The sequence below is a fragment of the Homo sapiens genome, chromosome 6 (assembly GCF_000001405.40).
Source record: "Homo sapiens chromosome 6, GRCh38.p14 Primary Assembly".
In the NCBI taxonomy this organism is placed as follows: domain Eukaryota; kingdom Metazoa; phylum Chordata; class Mammalia; order Primates; family Hominidae; genus Homo; species Homo sapiens.
This window is the reverse complement of record NC_000006.12, coordinates 54,381,989-54,399,890: the sequence shown is the minus strand read 5'-3', so window position 1 is coordinate 54,399,890 and position 17,902 is coordinate 54,381,989. Positions and strand designations below refer to the sequence as shown.

At 34.8% G+C, this 17,902-nt stretch overlaps 1 protein-coding gene across 8 annotated transcripts in view; it reads right to left on the bottom strand.

Moving 5' to 3' along the window:
• Positions 1–9,748: 9,748 nt before the first annotated feature.
• Positions 9,749–17,902, bottom strand: part of TINAG (tubulointerstitial nephritis antigen) — an 82,281-nt gene continuing 74,127 nt past the window's right edge. For 7 of the 8 annotated variants that reach the window (XM_006715062.3, NM_014464.4, XM_017010745.2 and 4 more), the window contains one exon: positions 9,749–10,100. In XM_006715062.3, the coding sequence (XP_006715125.1) occupies positions 9,966–10,100 (135 nt within the window). In that variant the 3' untranslated portion in view covers positions 9,749–9,965. Of the gene's footprint in view, positions 10,101–13,764; positions 13,984–17,902 lie in introns of those variants that run through there. The other variant, XM_047418653.1, reaches the window with a different exon arrangement.

Here is a 17,902-nt window from a genome sequence, read left to right as displayed (position 1 = left end):
CTTAAGCCACCTGCAGGATGTGATTGTAGGGAGTGAGAGAACTCCTTCTAAGACTTATTTGAAACATCTTGTTCTCTTCCTTCTGCCTTCACTGCATTTACCATCATGTTAGGATGAGGAGAAAATTCCTAGGTTAGTAAAGGAGATATTTACTCCTTTACTATTTAAATTATATTTTATTCAGCTGCATGAATGCCTCCTAAATTAAGTGAGAGACTGTATGAACAGCTTGTAACATACCGGTCAGTATACAGCAAAAGTTCAGTAAATGTTAGTATGATTAATATAATAATGTAGCTGTGTATGAACAAATAAAGCCATAGAGGTTTAGCAACTTCCATAAGGTTTCAAAGCTACTGTACCTGATAATTTAATATTCATAAAGAAGATTGTAGCCCAGTTTTACTGTGTTTCACAAGTGTCTTTCACCACTGTGTTAAAGTAGGAAAAATGTTCTTATTATATCAACTATGCCATCATCTTAAGCATTAATCATTTTAAACATATAATCTTTTTAAGCATTGTTTGTATGTACGTCAATATATAAATATTCTATCAATAAAAATGGGGTCTTGTCTATCTGTGGAACTATTTCAAATCTAAACTAATATTTATATCCTAAGAAAGACACCTCATGCCATATTAAATCACAAACCAAAACCATAAATTAGACTGAGTTGGTTAAATGCTAAAAAGATTGTAAATGGCAATTACCCACATTATTACAATGATATGAATAAACCTTACATTTTAGGCAAATATCTCTTCACTAGTAACATAATTGTTAATTAACATATCAAAATACTAAAAAACCTTAAAGAGAAATATAACATGTTACAGAATTTGAAACAGAATTTTAAATGGCAAAGTCATTTACATCTTGGGTAACATTTTGCTACTCTATTTCCTTTGTCTCTGTGGGAACCTAGTTTGCTAAGAAAAAAAATCTATATCTTGCAGTTCTTGAAAAAAAGAATGTTTTTACCTAAAATTAATGAACTACCACTTAGCAGTCTGGACACAGCGAGTGGCCCCTGATTTAAAACATCGCTTCTATGAGTAAACTAGCCCCCGAAGTAGCCTATTGTGAATTTTCCAGTTTCAAATAGATATCAGAGACCTAAATAAATAAAATATGTTTCTTGCAACACAAAGTACATCAGTGTAGTTAGGTAATCAAATCACGTAGTTTGCATATTATACTATTAAATTATTTCTACATTGTATTTGAAAACTTACTGAGCAGAGATGATCTGAGAAAGTACATAAGAAATCAAATATAACTAGAACTGACACAACTTTTCTCCAGGCTTAGCTATTCAGAAACTGTGCTTTCTTTTTTTAAAAATTGAGTAATAACAATTATAAAGAGTTAAAGGAAGCAATGATTGTACTGAGGGGCATCATTTAGAAAGCAACCTACATAAATGTCTAGACTAGAAAATAAGAAAAGCTAAAGATTAATGAGCCAAGAGTCCAACATATGAAGCTTGAAAAATTTATCAGAATAGATTCTAAGGAATTTGAAAGATGATAAAAATAAGTCATTAATTAAACTGAAAACAAATATACAATAGAGAGTATCAATAAAACTAAAACTTATTTCATTGAAAAGAAAAATAAATGGACAAATCTCTGATGAGCTTGTTCAGAAAGTAAGAAAAAGGAGGAGAATTCCCAAATTAAGGAATAAATAACATTAGAAGTAAAAGTGAGAAACAAATTTAGATCCAGCAAGATTAAAACAATATTAATAATACTATGGTATAATTATGTACAATATATGATCTTAACATATTATAATAAATGAAAACTTACATAAAATAGGCAAATTTATATATATAATATACATATTTACATGTGTGTAAATATCTGTGTATATATGTGTGTATATACATATGTATATATATATGCCTTCTCACTAAAGAAGTAAAGATAGCCAGAGGGATTTATATAAAGATATTCAATAAGGAATTTAAGATTTTTACTTGCAGGAAACACCATGTCTTGGTGGTTTAATGGGCTTATTGAGTATGCTATCAATAAACAAATTATTATGACCTTACATAATCTCTCCAAAATAATTAAACAAGAGATAAAATTCCCCTGGCCCCTTCAAATAATCTTACTATCAAAATCTGGCAAGGAAAGGATAAAGAAAAAAGAAAATCTTTAAGAAACATGCGTAACTATCTATTTGACTCAAGAAAAACACACTTGCTAAAATTGAACACCCATTAATTTTTTTTTTTTTTTTTGAGATGGAGTCTCTCTTTGTCACCCAGGCTGGAGTGCAGTGGTGCGATCTGGGCTCACTGCAACCTCCACCTCCTGGGTTCAAGCGATTCTCCTGCCTCAGCCTCCCGAGTAGCTGGGACTACAGGTGCCTGCCACCACGCCAGCTAATTTTTTTTTTTTATTTTTAGTAGAGACGGGGTTTCACTGTGTTAGCCAGGATGGTCTTGATCTCCTGGCCTCCTGATCTGCCCGCCTTGGCCTCCCAAAGTGCTGGGATTACAGGCGTGAGCCACCGAGCCTGGCCCCCATTAATTACTTTTAAAAAGAAGAAGAAAAAAAGTCGCTAGCCATGATCCCAAGACCAGTTAAGAGACTGGTCTTGTCTCTTAACAATTAATGTCATTTTAAAAAGGTGCCCTAAAGTGATATAACTGTCAGTGAAATGTACCATTCTGGTTTTGATCTGGGTTTGGATAAAGAAACTAGAAGAGAGGGCTTGAAATGTTCTCCGTACATAGAAATGATAAATGTTCAAGGAAGTTGATACTCTAAATACCCTGACTTGATCATTACAAGTTCTATGCATGTAAGAAAATATCACGTGTACTCTGTAAGTATGTACAAATATTATATATCAACAAAAAAGGGAATAGTTAAAAATTAAAGAATAAAGAATATATTGGGGACAATTAGGGAGATTTAAATATGAAGTAAATATAAGATAAAAGATTATTGATATAGGGATTATTAATAAAAAATAACAGATTACAAAAATGTACAGTAAGATCTTCCAACATAGTGCTTGATTTCTTGTCTTTGTCTCTCTCTGTCTCATTCTGTCTCTCCCCACTAAAAGCATAATAAAATATCATTTTACACCTAAGAGAATGGAAAACATTGAGAGATTGGAAAATATTCATTGTTAGTGAGAATGAGAATTAATGGGAATTAATATATTACTAGTACCCATATAAATTGGTAAGCAATTTGTGATTATTTTACAAGATTCAACATCTCGATATGGTCTAACACAATAATTTTGTTATATGCATATATATTCCATACATATTAATATATACATATATATGCTATGCAGTAATGATTGTTAAATGTTATCAGGCATCAAAATCACTCAGAGGGCTTATTAAAGTTTTCTGTACCCCTTCTCAGATATTTTTATTTATTAGTTCAGGTTGAGAACCATGAATCTGCATTTCTAACAGCTCATGGGTGGTTGGCATCAATGCTTCTGATCCCAGAACCATACCTGTAGAACCACCACACTCAAGAAACGTATTCATTTTACAAGAGATATACATGAATGTTCATAACAGCATTGTTCATAATAGCAAATAAATCTAGCAACAAGCTAAATGTTCCCTGACATGGAATACCATAACAAATAAACCATAGTTATATGCAACGACAAGGGTAAATCTTGGACAGTTAAAGAATATTATATGCAGAACGACTGCAATTTTGAAGAACTAAACCAAGTAAAATTAAACAATAGATTGTTTAGGTATTATAAATATATAATAAATCTACTTAAAATGATAAACAAAAATTTTGGATAGTGTTTCTCTCTGGAACTGAAGTAAAGCAATGGAATAGGTGAAGAGTACCCAGGTAGGTAAAATTATATCTATAGTGTTTTATCTTTTATTTACCAAGTGTTCCTGTTATTATTATGCTTCATTAGGCATGCATTTGTTAAAAATATCCATTATATACAATAAAATAAAATCATTTTAGAAGATTGCTACAGAAGACACTATGAAATACTTAATATTGGCCAGTATGAGGCTCTCTCAATCAGTCACTAATATAATAAGACAACCTTTTACAGGTAAAGTAAATTTTCCTTTTAAACCACTTTGTTGAGGTATGATTGACATACAAAAAGCTGTACATATATAATGTATGCAACTTGGTAAGTTTAGAGGTAAGTATATACTCCTAAAATCATCACCATAAACTTACCCATCACCTCCAAAATTTTCTCCTGCCCTCTTATTTAATGGGCAGGGACGTTGGACCCAAAGGAAATGATTATCCATGGAACTGTAGCTGGCTTACCTATCTGCTATGGCTTACCAAAAGCTGGCAAGTAAGGGATCATTACTCGCAATAGCCTGTGTTGAACAAAGACTGAAACCTTGAGGTAACTTATTTACATAAATAGTCCTGGGACAAAGTGGAAAATGTTCTCTCACATACTTTCATGGCATTAACATGGCACAGCATTTGACTTTATAAACCAGTGCACTGTCACAAGAAATTTCAGACTGGCTCAGATCTAAGTTATAGCCAGCCTAAGGTTACATTCTGATAGTGGCACCAAAGGTGATTTACAGATAAGGATAAATGCACACTGCTATATCAAAATTCAGAGTACTCCAGCTTCTCTCTAAAAGCTAGTTACATAACTTCCTATTTAAAACTGTATCTAGGCCAGTGTCTCCCAAAATGAGTTTTACAAAAGAGTAGTTTGTGAGTTAAGAGAGGGCAGAGATTGTCTGCCTTGGGGGTCTCCTGTTATATTTCAAATACCTAGCACAGTAACTAACACCCTGCAGGCATATAATAATATTGACTGGATAGTGTGTGATGTAATGGGAATTTTTAGGAGAAAAGAGTCTGCGGTCATATCTGGAGTCATTGTGTATAATTGAACATGGTGACCATCACAAAGGATGCATGGCTGATGTGAGTGAGGACTGAAATCCAGCCGTGCTAGACTTGCTGGATTTCTCAACAGCCTACCTGTGAACTGTGCATCTTTCAAGTAGAGAATACAATACAACATATATAGCTTAAATTCAATATAACTAGACTTTTTTCCCCTTATGATCTCAGAAGAAAAGTGTATTAGTCTGTTTTCATGCTGCTCTAAAGAACTGCCAGGGACTGGGTAATTTATAAAGGAAAGAGGTTTAATTGACTCACAGTTCCATATGGCTTGGGAGGCCTCAGGAAACTTGCAATCATAGCAGAAGGTGAAGGGAAAGCAAGGCACCTTCCTCACAAGATGGCAAGAAGGAGAGGTGCCAAGCAAAGTGGGGAGAGCCCCCTATAAAACTATCAGATCTCATGAGAACTCACTATAAAACAGCATGGGGGAAACCACCCCCATAATTCAGCTACCTCCACCTGGTCTCACCCTTGACACCTGGGGGTTATGGGGATTAAAATTCAAGATGCGATTTGGCTGGGGACACAAAGCCTAATCATATCAACAAGTCTTTCACGGAATAACTTGGGAAGCACAGAGCTAAACTGCTTGCCAGAGGGTGGAGGTTATAGAGAGGAGGTGGTATAGAGAGGCAAGAGTTTTTGCCTTTTTTTTTCTAACTAATGGGGCTGTTACTGGTGTCGTCTTTGTGGAGAAATCTCACTCTATTGGATTTACCTATCAATTACTTTTTAAACATTTCTATCAGATATAATATCAAAATAATGCACAATAGTATTCATGGCTAGAAATGGAGAAACCTTTTCCCTTCATTCAATCTTCCATTCTGGACAGTGCTGGGCTAATATTTTTTTCCTTTCTCATTGACGCCTCTGGGAAAGAAATGTCTGTATGTTCTTTAGCGTCTCTGGGAAAGAAATGTCTGTGTGTTCTTTAGAAGCCTGCTTTCTGATACAATGATATCTGATATATTAATGCTCTTCTCTCTCGACACATTTCATAAAATGGTAGTTTATGAGATAATACTCCCTTTTCCCTCCCTTTTTTTCCTTTGAAATTAAATCAACTTCCACCCAAAGAAAAATAAATGTCCTGAGATGAGATTATCATAATTGTTTTGATAGGCAATTGGTGTAGGAGTTAAGAAGAAATTACTTAGGTGGATAGTGAGGATACAGAAGTCCTCAGTAAGGTTTTCCTTTAAATGACAAGCAGCCCCAAATCATTTTCCTTTCTAACAAAGAGCAGCCTGTAAAATCCAACTGCAGACATAGACGTTGGGTTAATCATGTTCAAAATGGCGGCTCTATCTATCCTTTTTATCAGCCACGTGTACGCACTTGTAATCCCAGCTACTCAGGAGGCTGAGGTAGGAGAATCGCTTGAACCCGGGAGGCGGAGGTTGCAGTGAGCCAAGATTGCACCATTGCACTCCAGCCTGGGAGACAGAGCAAGACTCCGGCGCAAAAAAAAAAATTACGATGGGGTGGCCAGCCTTCTCCACATGTAAAATCTGACGAAAAACTCTGCCACCTGCTGACCTTTTCCCTTTCAGAAGCCACTCTTTCTCACTTCTCCTTTCTCTTTTTTCTGCCTATTAAACCTCTGCTTTTAAACTTCTCATATGTGTCTGTGTCCTAAGTTTTCTTGGTGCGAGACAACAAACCCCAGGTATTTACCCCAGACAACGTAGCCACTTCACAGTGATAGTAAACTTCAGACAGATCTCTATGAACTACTGTGAAGAAAGTGGGAAAATATCTTTCTTGCATAGATTGATATATTTTCTATAAGACAAGAGAGATTAACCAAAAAAGAGATGTGCAATAGCAGGCATTATAGTACTTAAGACATATGCATTAACTAAGGGGCCAAGTTCATAAACTATTATTTATAAAGCAACTCCTGATAGAATATTCTTTTTTGTAATCTTAATTTCCAATATCTACATGAGATCAGTCAAAAATTAATTTTCTACATTTACCCTTTACTTTATCCCTCACCCTTACCCTATTCTCCCGTGTATCTGGTAAAGGGTTGGGGTTAACCCTGACAGCTCAATTTTATAAACTCTGATACCAGTTGTCTTTCAGCTGAGTCAGCCAATGAGAAGTATTGATGAACATTTGGAGGGCATGAGAAAGGGGGAGGCCACAATGTTTCTCCACCTTCCTCTCTGCCTCACCTGGCAAATTTGGCAGCACCATGTCTTTTCATGGCTCCAGCTTCCATCAGTCATGCTTACAGCTACTGGTGGGATAACATCAGCCCCTAGATCCCAGTTTCCCACCTTTGTCTTTGCTTTGTCCCTCAGTCTAGAGGTGATGGCAGCTTTCTACTGTTGCTCAGCTCTGGGTTGGCTCACCATCCCCCATTGCCCCCCAGATTCCCCACTGCCTAGGTGAGCAATTTCTTTCACTACATTCCTTCGTTCAAAGCACAGAGGTTTCCTTTTTAATGATTGAACCCCAACTAATAAACTTCATTCCATTTTATGTATTTTTAAGAGAATTTTTGAATTTCATTTTAAAAAACTGGGAAAGCTTATTTGTTATTTAGAATAAAATGAGATCATACAAATGTCATGAAATAGAGGAGGCCATACACCTTTATTTTCTAAGTTTTTCCTACTTCAATTTGTGGGAGGAAACCATCTAGGCATCAGTCAATTAATTCTGCAAATAGTTACTCAATCCCTAGGGTGGGGCAAGGAATATACTAATCATTAGTTTCTGAAAGTTGACTCGGAGCCCTTGAATAATAAGTAAAACTAAACAAGCTCTTTAAAGTTGTAAAAATGATAACACTATTAAAGGGAAGACACTGATTCAACAAACCTCAATAATAATATTTTCCCTATCCCACTGATACCCGTCTGTCCCAACTAGTTTCTATATCTTCTTTAGGTCTGTAATTGCTAGATGAACACACTGTGTGCTTTCCTATGGGTCTCACTAACGTGGTATTTTCTTTTTCCTTTTTCTTTCACTTTGGATTTAGTTTCCTCATGATTTTGGTGTCATTCGAAAGTTAGGACTTTTTGAAACAGCAGAACCTAGGCTCACAAACCACAACGTGAAAAATTAATTCCAATATCTATCATCCATTTGTATAACAAAGGTAAAAGTGCATCAACGTAATCCCGTGTTTTTTATAGGCATGTTAGTCATCTGGCATTTTGGTGCATTAGAATTTATTACTTCAGCAGTCTTCAGCATTAAAAGCGTTTTAAAAGTATTTTAACATCCACTGCAGACACTGTTGGTGCCCTGCCCACATTACCTCACCTGTACCATTTCAGTGGACATCAAAGTACCAGAACCTGCCTTTCTTTGCTTGTGAGTTTTTTCTGACACTGGAATCTGTTTTTCCCCCTCTTTTGCCAGACTAGAAAGAACAAGGAATCCATGAACCCCAGGAGCAGTCCTCAACCAAAGAAAACTTCTTTCCTCAGGTGTTATGGATCTGAAGAATGTAGCAAGAGTCCTCAGTGGGATAAGAACTAGGCCAACGCACCCTTTACTGTCCGCCATCACTAGCCTATATCACTCCTCACTGCCTTCTCAGTGTTCCCTTCATGGCCGAAACAAATTGTTTGTGCTCAAAACTTTGTCTTATGGGCTGCTTCTAGAGGACCCCAAACAGAGAAAAAAACAAATTATTTCTCTACTCTTTGGGAAAATGTCAGCCAACCCCAACAAGGTGACACCCTCATGCATATTTTCTAGGGTAGAACCAAGTAAATAAATGCTGCTTCTGATAAAGCTACACTGATTAATGAAGAAGTCAACAATTGCAACAACACTTCACCTTTCTGTGCTCTGTTCCCTCACATTTTCATCATGTCTAGCTTCTCTAATCAGGGCATCTTTGGACACAATAACAGAAAAAAATCCCAATTATCAAAATTAACATGATAGGGACCAGAAATTCAGGCCTTGGAGAGCCCACCATTGTAATTATAATCAATTGTGTTCACTTACTGATCAGCTTTGCTTCTGCATTTATTAGTTTTCCATTTAAGATGCCAGTGAGTTATTAAGAGATTATCTGCTTTCTCAACCATTGCTATGATGCTATTTTCGTTTTTCTGACTATAGAGAACTAAAAATTACATGCAAATGAGTGCCAATTTAGCTTACTTTTTAGAATTTCAAGCAGTGAACTGTGATAAAAGTATATTTGTGATAAAAGTGTATACATATTCTTTCTGCATCATGGCATCAAGTTGCTGTTTTGGGGTGGTAAATCTTTTGTTATCTTTCCAAATACTGTTTTGCAGCTGATTTTAATAGACTTTACATAAAATATACTAGCATCCAAAAATAGGGCTGTGTGTATGTCAGAACTGTACTTCTATTGTTAGCCTCCAAGCTTTTCCATTACTTAACATCTCCACCTCTCAGGCCATTGCAGAGTACAATAGAGAGTAATTGTTTCCTGTGGATAGTTGCTTTTCATTTTGTGAACAGATTACAAGGTAGGTTTAGGCAAATGAGAGGAAACAAAATGTTAAGTTATTGAGATAAACAACTTATAATCTATTTCCACTGCTTAAGCAAAACATAAGCAAGGTTTGAACTAAGGAACTGTTCAACTTGGATGAAAAGAAATTTATAAAGATGGCAAATTGCTGAATTTCTAATTTGCTTTTTGTTGTCTAAGGTCCTCACTGGTCAAAGAGAGAAACCACACTATTTCTACAAATGAGTCCTAAGAACTGTGAAAACAGATGCCATCACACTGTTTGTGAACAATTAAAGGTAAAAGGGACACCATCATGACAGAAAAATAAGGCAACCTGGGAACTTTAAAGACATTTAGGGACTCTGCTGTCCTTTATTGGTGTTGTTAATGCTCAGTAATATGAAGGAAGCAGAAGCATAGACCAGAGGGGAAAATAAGAAAATAGATAGATTATGTTAACACGGTGAAGAGACAAAGATTCCACTGTCACCAAGAATGTCATATTGCTAAACTTCAATTTAGGGGGTTACTTAAAGGCATGACCTTATGGAAATTTAATGATATGTTATGGTTCATCAGAACTCGTCAGTTGGCCCCAAGCTGCGATAATCAACTTTTCAATGTCGGACTCATTTACTCCTCGAAGAATCCTGAAATAGCCATTCTCTCCCCATGACTTTCCCCAGGAATTGGCAGCAATCTGCAGAAAAACAAACAAACAAAAAAGTTGAGAAACATACTTTGGTATTTTTTAAAAAAAGCCATGGAGAACTCATTTGTAACTTTAAATGCCTTTGATTTATCATAGACTATAATTATCAAGAACTTACCTATTTTTAAATAATGGTTGTATTATGTATCAACTACACTAATATGCAGGAATGATGGCAATAGCCAGAATTGATATGACTCTTCTGAGTTTCCCAGAGTACTAAGGTAACATAGGCCTGAGCGTTTGAAATGCCACATCAGAAGATGGCATGCAAGCTGCAGTTATAGAGTTGTCTACTATGTGAACAACAGCCTGTGCTAGGTGCTGGAAGACGAAAGATAAATAATACATTATCTTATGTTCAGGAAGTTTATAATCTAATGAAGAATGACCAACATAAGGCAAGTGCTAAGGTGAAAATAAGTACAGAGTATTTTTGAGGTCAGAGAAAGGGCATCTCATTTACTTGGATGGTTCAGCGAAGACATTGTTGAAGAAGTGTCACATGAGATGCATATTAAAGCCTGAGAATCAATTCACCAATGTAAAAGGAGGAAGGGAGATTGACGTAAAGGAAAACAGTAAAAGCATAAACACCAAAGCATGAAATAGTATGAAGCAGTGAAATTAAGCAATAAAATTGTTATAGTTAGATCACGAGACAGAAGCAGAATGGTAGGTTATGAGGCTGGAAGGGGAGGAAAGAACATCCATAATGAGAAAATAATGGGAAAAATTATGACATGCCATTGAGTTGATTCTAGCAGGAAAGAAAGGTGGGCAAATTCATACTGTGATTACATTATCCTATATGACATCAAGTGGATAGATTTAAGAGGGTACAGACAAGAGGCAGTGACTAGCTAGTAGACTCCTGTAATAATTCAATTGGATAAGAGAAAATAAAGTATTTGAGAAATCTTCAGAAAGTAAAATCAACAGGAATTAGTTTTGTTTTTTTTTTAATTCCTCTTTCTAAAATGCAAAAATGGTTGGATTGGATGGTTGGAGTAAGTCCAAAATGACTCCTGGGTTAAAAGCTTGAACGAATAAGTGTGTGATGGAGCAAAAGTATCAATGGAGTACATGGAGAATATCATGAAGGCCAAAGGACACACAGAAGGGAGTTAGTTCCACAACTAAATGCAGCAGAAAAGCCCAATAAATTAGCAGCTTCACCTCAACAGCTCTCACACTCGCCTCCCATTTACCCTACCCTGGGACTAAGAAAATATTCTCAAGACATAAGGTGTCGAATTGAGCTTTCACTGTTTTCTACAATGTAAGAGAGGGGCAGATTGACTCAGCATCAGAAATTGCCATGACATCAACTTTAAGAAATAGCCAATTTTTATCAGCATTTCTTTTTAAGATTTGGCTGTTTGCCTCCTTAATCAACCCTGATACTTTAAAGGAGCACTCTCAAAACTATGTTTAAAATTGTAAGTTCAATTTATCATTTCAAAGATGAAATGGACTTTGAATAGCTGAGAAGGAAACAGCGTCAATGTGTGTGAGAGTTCTAGCACCAGTGAAATACACTAAATGTCAATTTTCATATTTTTTTAGTCAGTTCATATATCTGTATCTATATATCAAATAAAATTAGTCACAACCTAACAAATGGCTAGGAATAGTAATATTTGTAAATTCTTGCAAATATGATATATAACACTGAGCCTATTCTCATTTGGATGGCTGAAGATTATTACTATCCAAAATTTCATAATTACATTCTTGGTAAATATGGGAAAGGTATATAAAGATTGTATAAGCAAATGTGCATTTATGTGCTAATGAGAGCTAATCATATGTTTGCAAGAAAGGCCACATAATTATAAAGAGTAAGACACTGTAAAAATTAGTGCTAATAAAATACACCTCAGGACATGTATTTTGTTTATTAATCTTATTCTTCCTACTCTCATTTCTTCTATTTCAGCATTTATTTTGTTTGTTTCTTCCAAATGCCTACATTTGTTTGTATTTAATTATAAAGGAAATGGTGGCAATGAAGGGGAGAAAATTTCTAAAGATTTAACTTTTCATCTTTTGTATTGAGATATATGATACAGTCACATAGATAAAGTGTATTAATCTTAAGTATACAACTTAGTAAATTTATACATGTGTTTATGAAGTTTATGTTCATGTAATCTCCACTTAGATTAAGCTATTAACCACTTATAGCACCCCAGAAGGTCTACCATGTTGCCTTCCTGTCCATCCACCCTCCACTCCCCATCAGGTTTTCCTATAATTGATCTTTACAAAAATGGAATAATGCAAAATATATTGAGGTTGACTTTTTTTTAGCTCAAAATAATGTTTCTGGGATTCATCTATGTTTGGCATATGTAAGCAATTAATTCATCTTATTACTATTTATTTTCATTGTGTGACTATACCACAGTTTATCCATTCTCCTGGTGATAAACATGATGAACATAAGTAGCGGCTCCATTTACACATGCATCAGTAGTATAAGATTCTATTTACTCCAAATCCTCATCTATGCTGGATATTATCAATCCTTTTAATTTTAGCTAATCTAGTGTATATGAAGTGATATTTCATTGTGGTCTTAATTTGCATTTCCTTGATAATTAGTAACATTGACCATCTTTTCACATGGCTATTTAGGCCATTTGGATTTCCCCTTTTCTTGAAGTTTCTGTTTAAGAGTTCTATTTTATTGAGTTATCTTGGTCTTCCTATATATTTGTAAGAATGTCTATTTATTGTATATGTGAGGACTTGTCAGATACCTTTCCAGATAGATAGATAGATACATTTTTCTCATTCTGTGGCTTACTTTTTCTTATAATACTGTCTTTTAAATAGTTGTTCTTATTTTAATGTAGTCTGATAATTTATTCTTAAAAAGTTTATTTTGTGCCCGATTTAAGAAAGCATTTTCTAATAGATATCACAAACATATTTGCCTATGTTTTCTTCGAGAAACTTTATTATTTTGCAATTACATGGTCTCTGCTCCATCTCAAATTGTTTTTGTCTGTATTTAGTGAGGAAGTGATCTAGGTTTTTTTTTTTCATATGTATATAAAGTTTCTGTGACCTATGTATTGGCAAACCATGGCTCGTGGACCAAATGTGGCTCAAGAAGCCCCTTAAAAGAGGATTTAGAAGTCAGAAATTTTGTTTTTCCTAATGGTCTTGAAGATGTAAGGTACTCTGTTGAGAGAGGATCTGTAAAACTCTGTGTGAGGGAGCCACATGGAAGGAACTTCAGGCATCCTCTAAGATCTGAGAATATCCTCAGTCAGCAAGAAAATGGGGGCTTGGACCCACAACCAAAAAAACACGTCTACCAACAACCACGTGAGCTTGGAAGAGGGCTGTAAGCTCCAGAAAGGAACACAACTCAGACAACACTTTGATGGCATCCTTGTGAGATCATGAGCAGAGGATCCAGCTCGGTACACTGGATTTCTGACCCACAGAAACACTGCGATAATAAATGTATGTTGTTTCAATCTGCTAAATCTGTGATAGTTTGTTACACAACAGTAGAACAGTAAGTGCTGAATTTTATTAATGCATTTTCTGCACCAATTAAGATATTCAAGCCGGGTTCACTGGCTCACGCCTGTAATTCCAGCACTTTGGGAGGCCAAGGTGGGCAGATCACCTGAAGTCAGGAGTTTGAGACCAGCCTGGGCGACATGGCGAAACCCGTCTCTACCAAAAATACGAATATTAGCCAGGTGTGGTGGCGGGTGTCTGTATTCCCAGCTACTCGGGAGACTGAGGTAGGGAGAACTGCTTGAACCTGGGAGGTAGAGGATGCAGTTAGCCAAGATCACGACACTGCACTCCAGCCTGGACGACAGAGTGAGTGAGACTCCGTCTGAAAAAAAAAAAAAAAAAAAAAAAAATCATGTTTTTTTTTCTCCTTGACTCTTATAATTTGATGAACTATATTGATTGATTTTAGTACTTGAAACCAACCTTGCATTCCTAACATAAGTTTCACTTATGGAGTGTTATCCCTTTATATATTTCTTAATTGTAATATTTTGTTTGGAATTTTATGCTCATGAGAGATATCGGCCTATATTTTTTCTTTTTTGTATTGTCTTATCAAGTTTTGGTATTGGTGTTACCGCTTCATAAAATGAGTTTGGAAGTAACTGTTCCTTATTTCCTATTCCCTGAAAGGATTTGTTGTAAAATTCGTTTCATTTATTCCTTAAATGTTTGGAAAATTCACCAGTGAAGTCTTTTGAGCCTGAATTCCTCTGTGAAAGTAATTTAAATAGACTCATTTTTTTTTTCAAATTGTTCCATAACTATTTATGCTATTTTCATCCTGTGTAGGTTTTTGATAAGTTTTGTTTTCTGATAAATTTATCCATTTCATCTATATTTTCAATTATACTGGCATAACTTTTTAATAATATCCTCTTATTACCTACTTCATATCTATTGAATCTGCAGCAATGTTCTCTTTTTTCATTTCTATGGCAATTTGTCTCTCCTTGTTTCTTTTTCAGTCTTCCTAGACATTTAATCATTTTTTGCAAAGCATCAACTCTTTGCTTTTTTGATTTTCATCTATTATAATATGTCTGTTTTCTTTTACTTTTTTTTGCTTTTCTGTTTATTATTTCTTTCATTTATCTTCGGTTTAAATTTTTCAGCTTATTGAATTATTCTTTTCAACCTTTTAAAAATACATGAATCAATTTTAACCTTTCTTCTTTTCCAATGCATGCATTTTCTATTACATTCAGTAGTGCTTTAGCTAAATAACAAAAGTTTCATCATGGTATATTCTGTACAATTTCAATTTTTTAAATTTATTGAACATGCCCTATGGACCAGCATGTGGTCAATATTGGCAAATATTTCATGTGCACTTAAAGAGAATGTATATTCATCAATATTTATGTGTAATATCCTATGAATTTCAATGACATAAAGCTGGCTAATAGTTTTTTTCAATCTTTCATACATTTACTTATTTTTAGCTGCTATTTCTATGAGATACTGAGATATGTTTAAATATTTGCCTACTTTTTTTCTGTAACTTTTGGTGTATGTTTTTTTGGAATTGTGTTATTTCAGCTTTTGTCCAAACGTGCTTTAATTTTGTATTTATTTTGGAGAAAAATGTCACCATGTATAAAATTCCATGTTGGCACGTTATCTTCATCATTATCAATATTATTATTTTATCCAGCATTTTAGCAATGTCATTTTGCAGTCTTCTACTTTCCTTTTTTATTGTTGTTGTTGAAATGCCAGCTGTCAGTCAGTGCTGCTTTTTTTGAGAATAATGTGTCATTTTAAATAGTGACTTTTTAAATTTCTATTTTTTATCTTCAGCTGTTTGATCGTGAAAAGTTTGAGTGTGATTTTCTTGCAATGTTTGCATTCATGAATTCAGGAACTCATTTTTTATTATAATTTAAGTTCTGGGGTACATGTGCAGAACATGCAGGTTTGTTACATAGGTATACACATGCCACGGTGGTTTTCTGCACCCATCAACTCATCATCTACATTAGGTATTTCTCCTAATGCTATCCCTCTCCTAGCCCCCCACCCGTGAACAGGCCCCAGTGTGTGATGTTCCCCTCCCTGTGTCCATGTGTTCTCATTGTTCAACTCTCACTTACGAGTGAGAACATGTAGTGTTTGGTTTTCTGTTCCTGTGTTAGTTTGCTGAGAATGATGGTTTCCAGCTTCATCCATGTCCCTGCAAAGTACATAAACTCATCCTTTTTTATTGATGCGTAGTATTCTATGGTGTATATGTGCCACATTTTCTTTATCCAGTCTATCATTGATGGGGATATGGGTTGGTTCCAAGTTTTTGCTATTGTGAACAGTGCTGCAATAAACATGTGTGTGCATGTGTCTTTATAATGGAATGATTTATAATCTTTTGGGTATATACCCAGTAATGAGATTGCTGGGTCAAATGGTATTTCTGGTTCTAGATTCTTGAGGAATTGCCACACTCTTCCACAATGGTTGAACTAATTATAGATTGAAATTCTCCATCTTTTCATCTAGATTTTTCTTAATTTTTTAAAATAATGGTTATTTTAAAGCCTACATCTAAAGTATCATCTATTGCTTCTATTGATAGTATTTTTCCCTTGGTTGCTGGTCACATCTTTCTGCTTCACTTGTCTCATAATTTAACTCAAACAAACCATAGCATGCCTATTACAAACCCAGTCCTCACTTTATGCCCAAACCTACCAAATGCTCCTAGGCCAAAAATTTTTCTCCAGATTTAGCACTCTCATTTTTTTAAAAACACAATTTTGGAAAAATTCTGCTATTTTCTACTTATTTAGTAGAATTTATGGCTTGCTGCTATGTATTACATTTTACTCAGTAGTGAAAGACTTTCAATATTTTTATTATAAAAATAGGTTTATATCATAGGACTATTTGTAAATGCTTTGAAACATCCATATATAATTGTGCAGAAATAAAACTTTCCTAGATTTCTCAGTGCTCTTGAATAAAGTTTTTGCTTTCCTGACCCACAAAACATTGTATATAATATAAAGATAGGGAATGTTTTCTTTCACTTCTCCCAAAAATATTCTACTCTTCGCATACCTTGACAATTAGATATGTAGCCATTCATCTAGTTTAATGATCTGATCTGAAGGGATAACAAAACTTCTCTTATCTCCTCTAGAGGCTCAAAGAGAGCAGAGACAAGGTCCTAAATTAAGCTTTAAGGTGTCAGAAGTGTGGGGACATTATATCCTTTGGTATTTACATCTCAAAAGAAATGCAGCCCATCATCTGGAGACTTTATTTGCTGTCTAGCTGGACCTTGGAAAGATATGTTTATATTCCTAATGTTTATGGTGAGAAGATAGGTTCCTCTTCAACTCATCATAATGGAATGAAAGATTTTTCCTTCCTTTTGGGAAAGGAGGAATCTGCTTGTCTCTCTCCTGTAAACAAATGGAGAAAATCTATTGTTCTTTGTCCATCATTTATGAGACATACACTGCTACCTGTGTAGACAAATTTTATTGGTTCTTATCACATCACTGTAAGACTAAGGTGTGGGAGATGCATGCTGCTATGTTACTCTGGTTGTCGATCTATTTATGAGTATCTGTTAAGAACTCCTTACTTCTGACCCAGGTGTTGTATCTCTAGTTAGGTCTATATCTATACCAATATCTATATCATCTATATCTGTGGGATAATATCTCAGACCTTTCACAATTCTTCACAAAACAGTACAACAGTACTTAAAGTTTCATATTTTAATTAAACCACTAGTATGTTTTATAAAAAATAAAATTATTTTAATTACTTGATTAGTTTTTCCTGAATGCATAGACTAAAATTATTCATTTGCTCATTCAATGAGTATTGTTTATATTCTCACTATGTACCAATCAAAATACTTTACCCTTGAGATACATTGGTAAATAAGTCAAATATGATCCTGACTCATGAGGAGAACACAGTTCAGTAGAGAAAAAAGCCTCAATTAATGTGCAAAATATTATAAATTTTAGTCTGATTCTTGTATTTCTACTGCTTGCATTCAACAATTTATCAAACAAATCATAGCAGAAAGAAATCTTACCCCTAGCCTCATGAAATAAAATTTTCTTTGAAGATGTTTGATAAGTAGTAAGTTCAGAATCGATAGTAAGTACAACAATGTAGTTAAAAGGGATAGTGTGCATGTATGTGTTAAATATATGAAAATGAGTGAGTAGATAATCATACTCAGCGTATGTGTATGTGTGTGTGTGTACACATATACACTA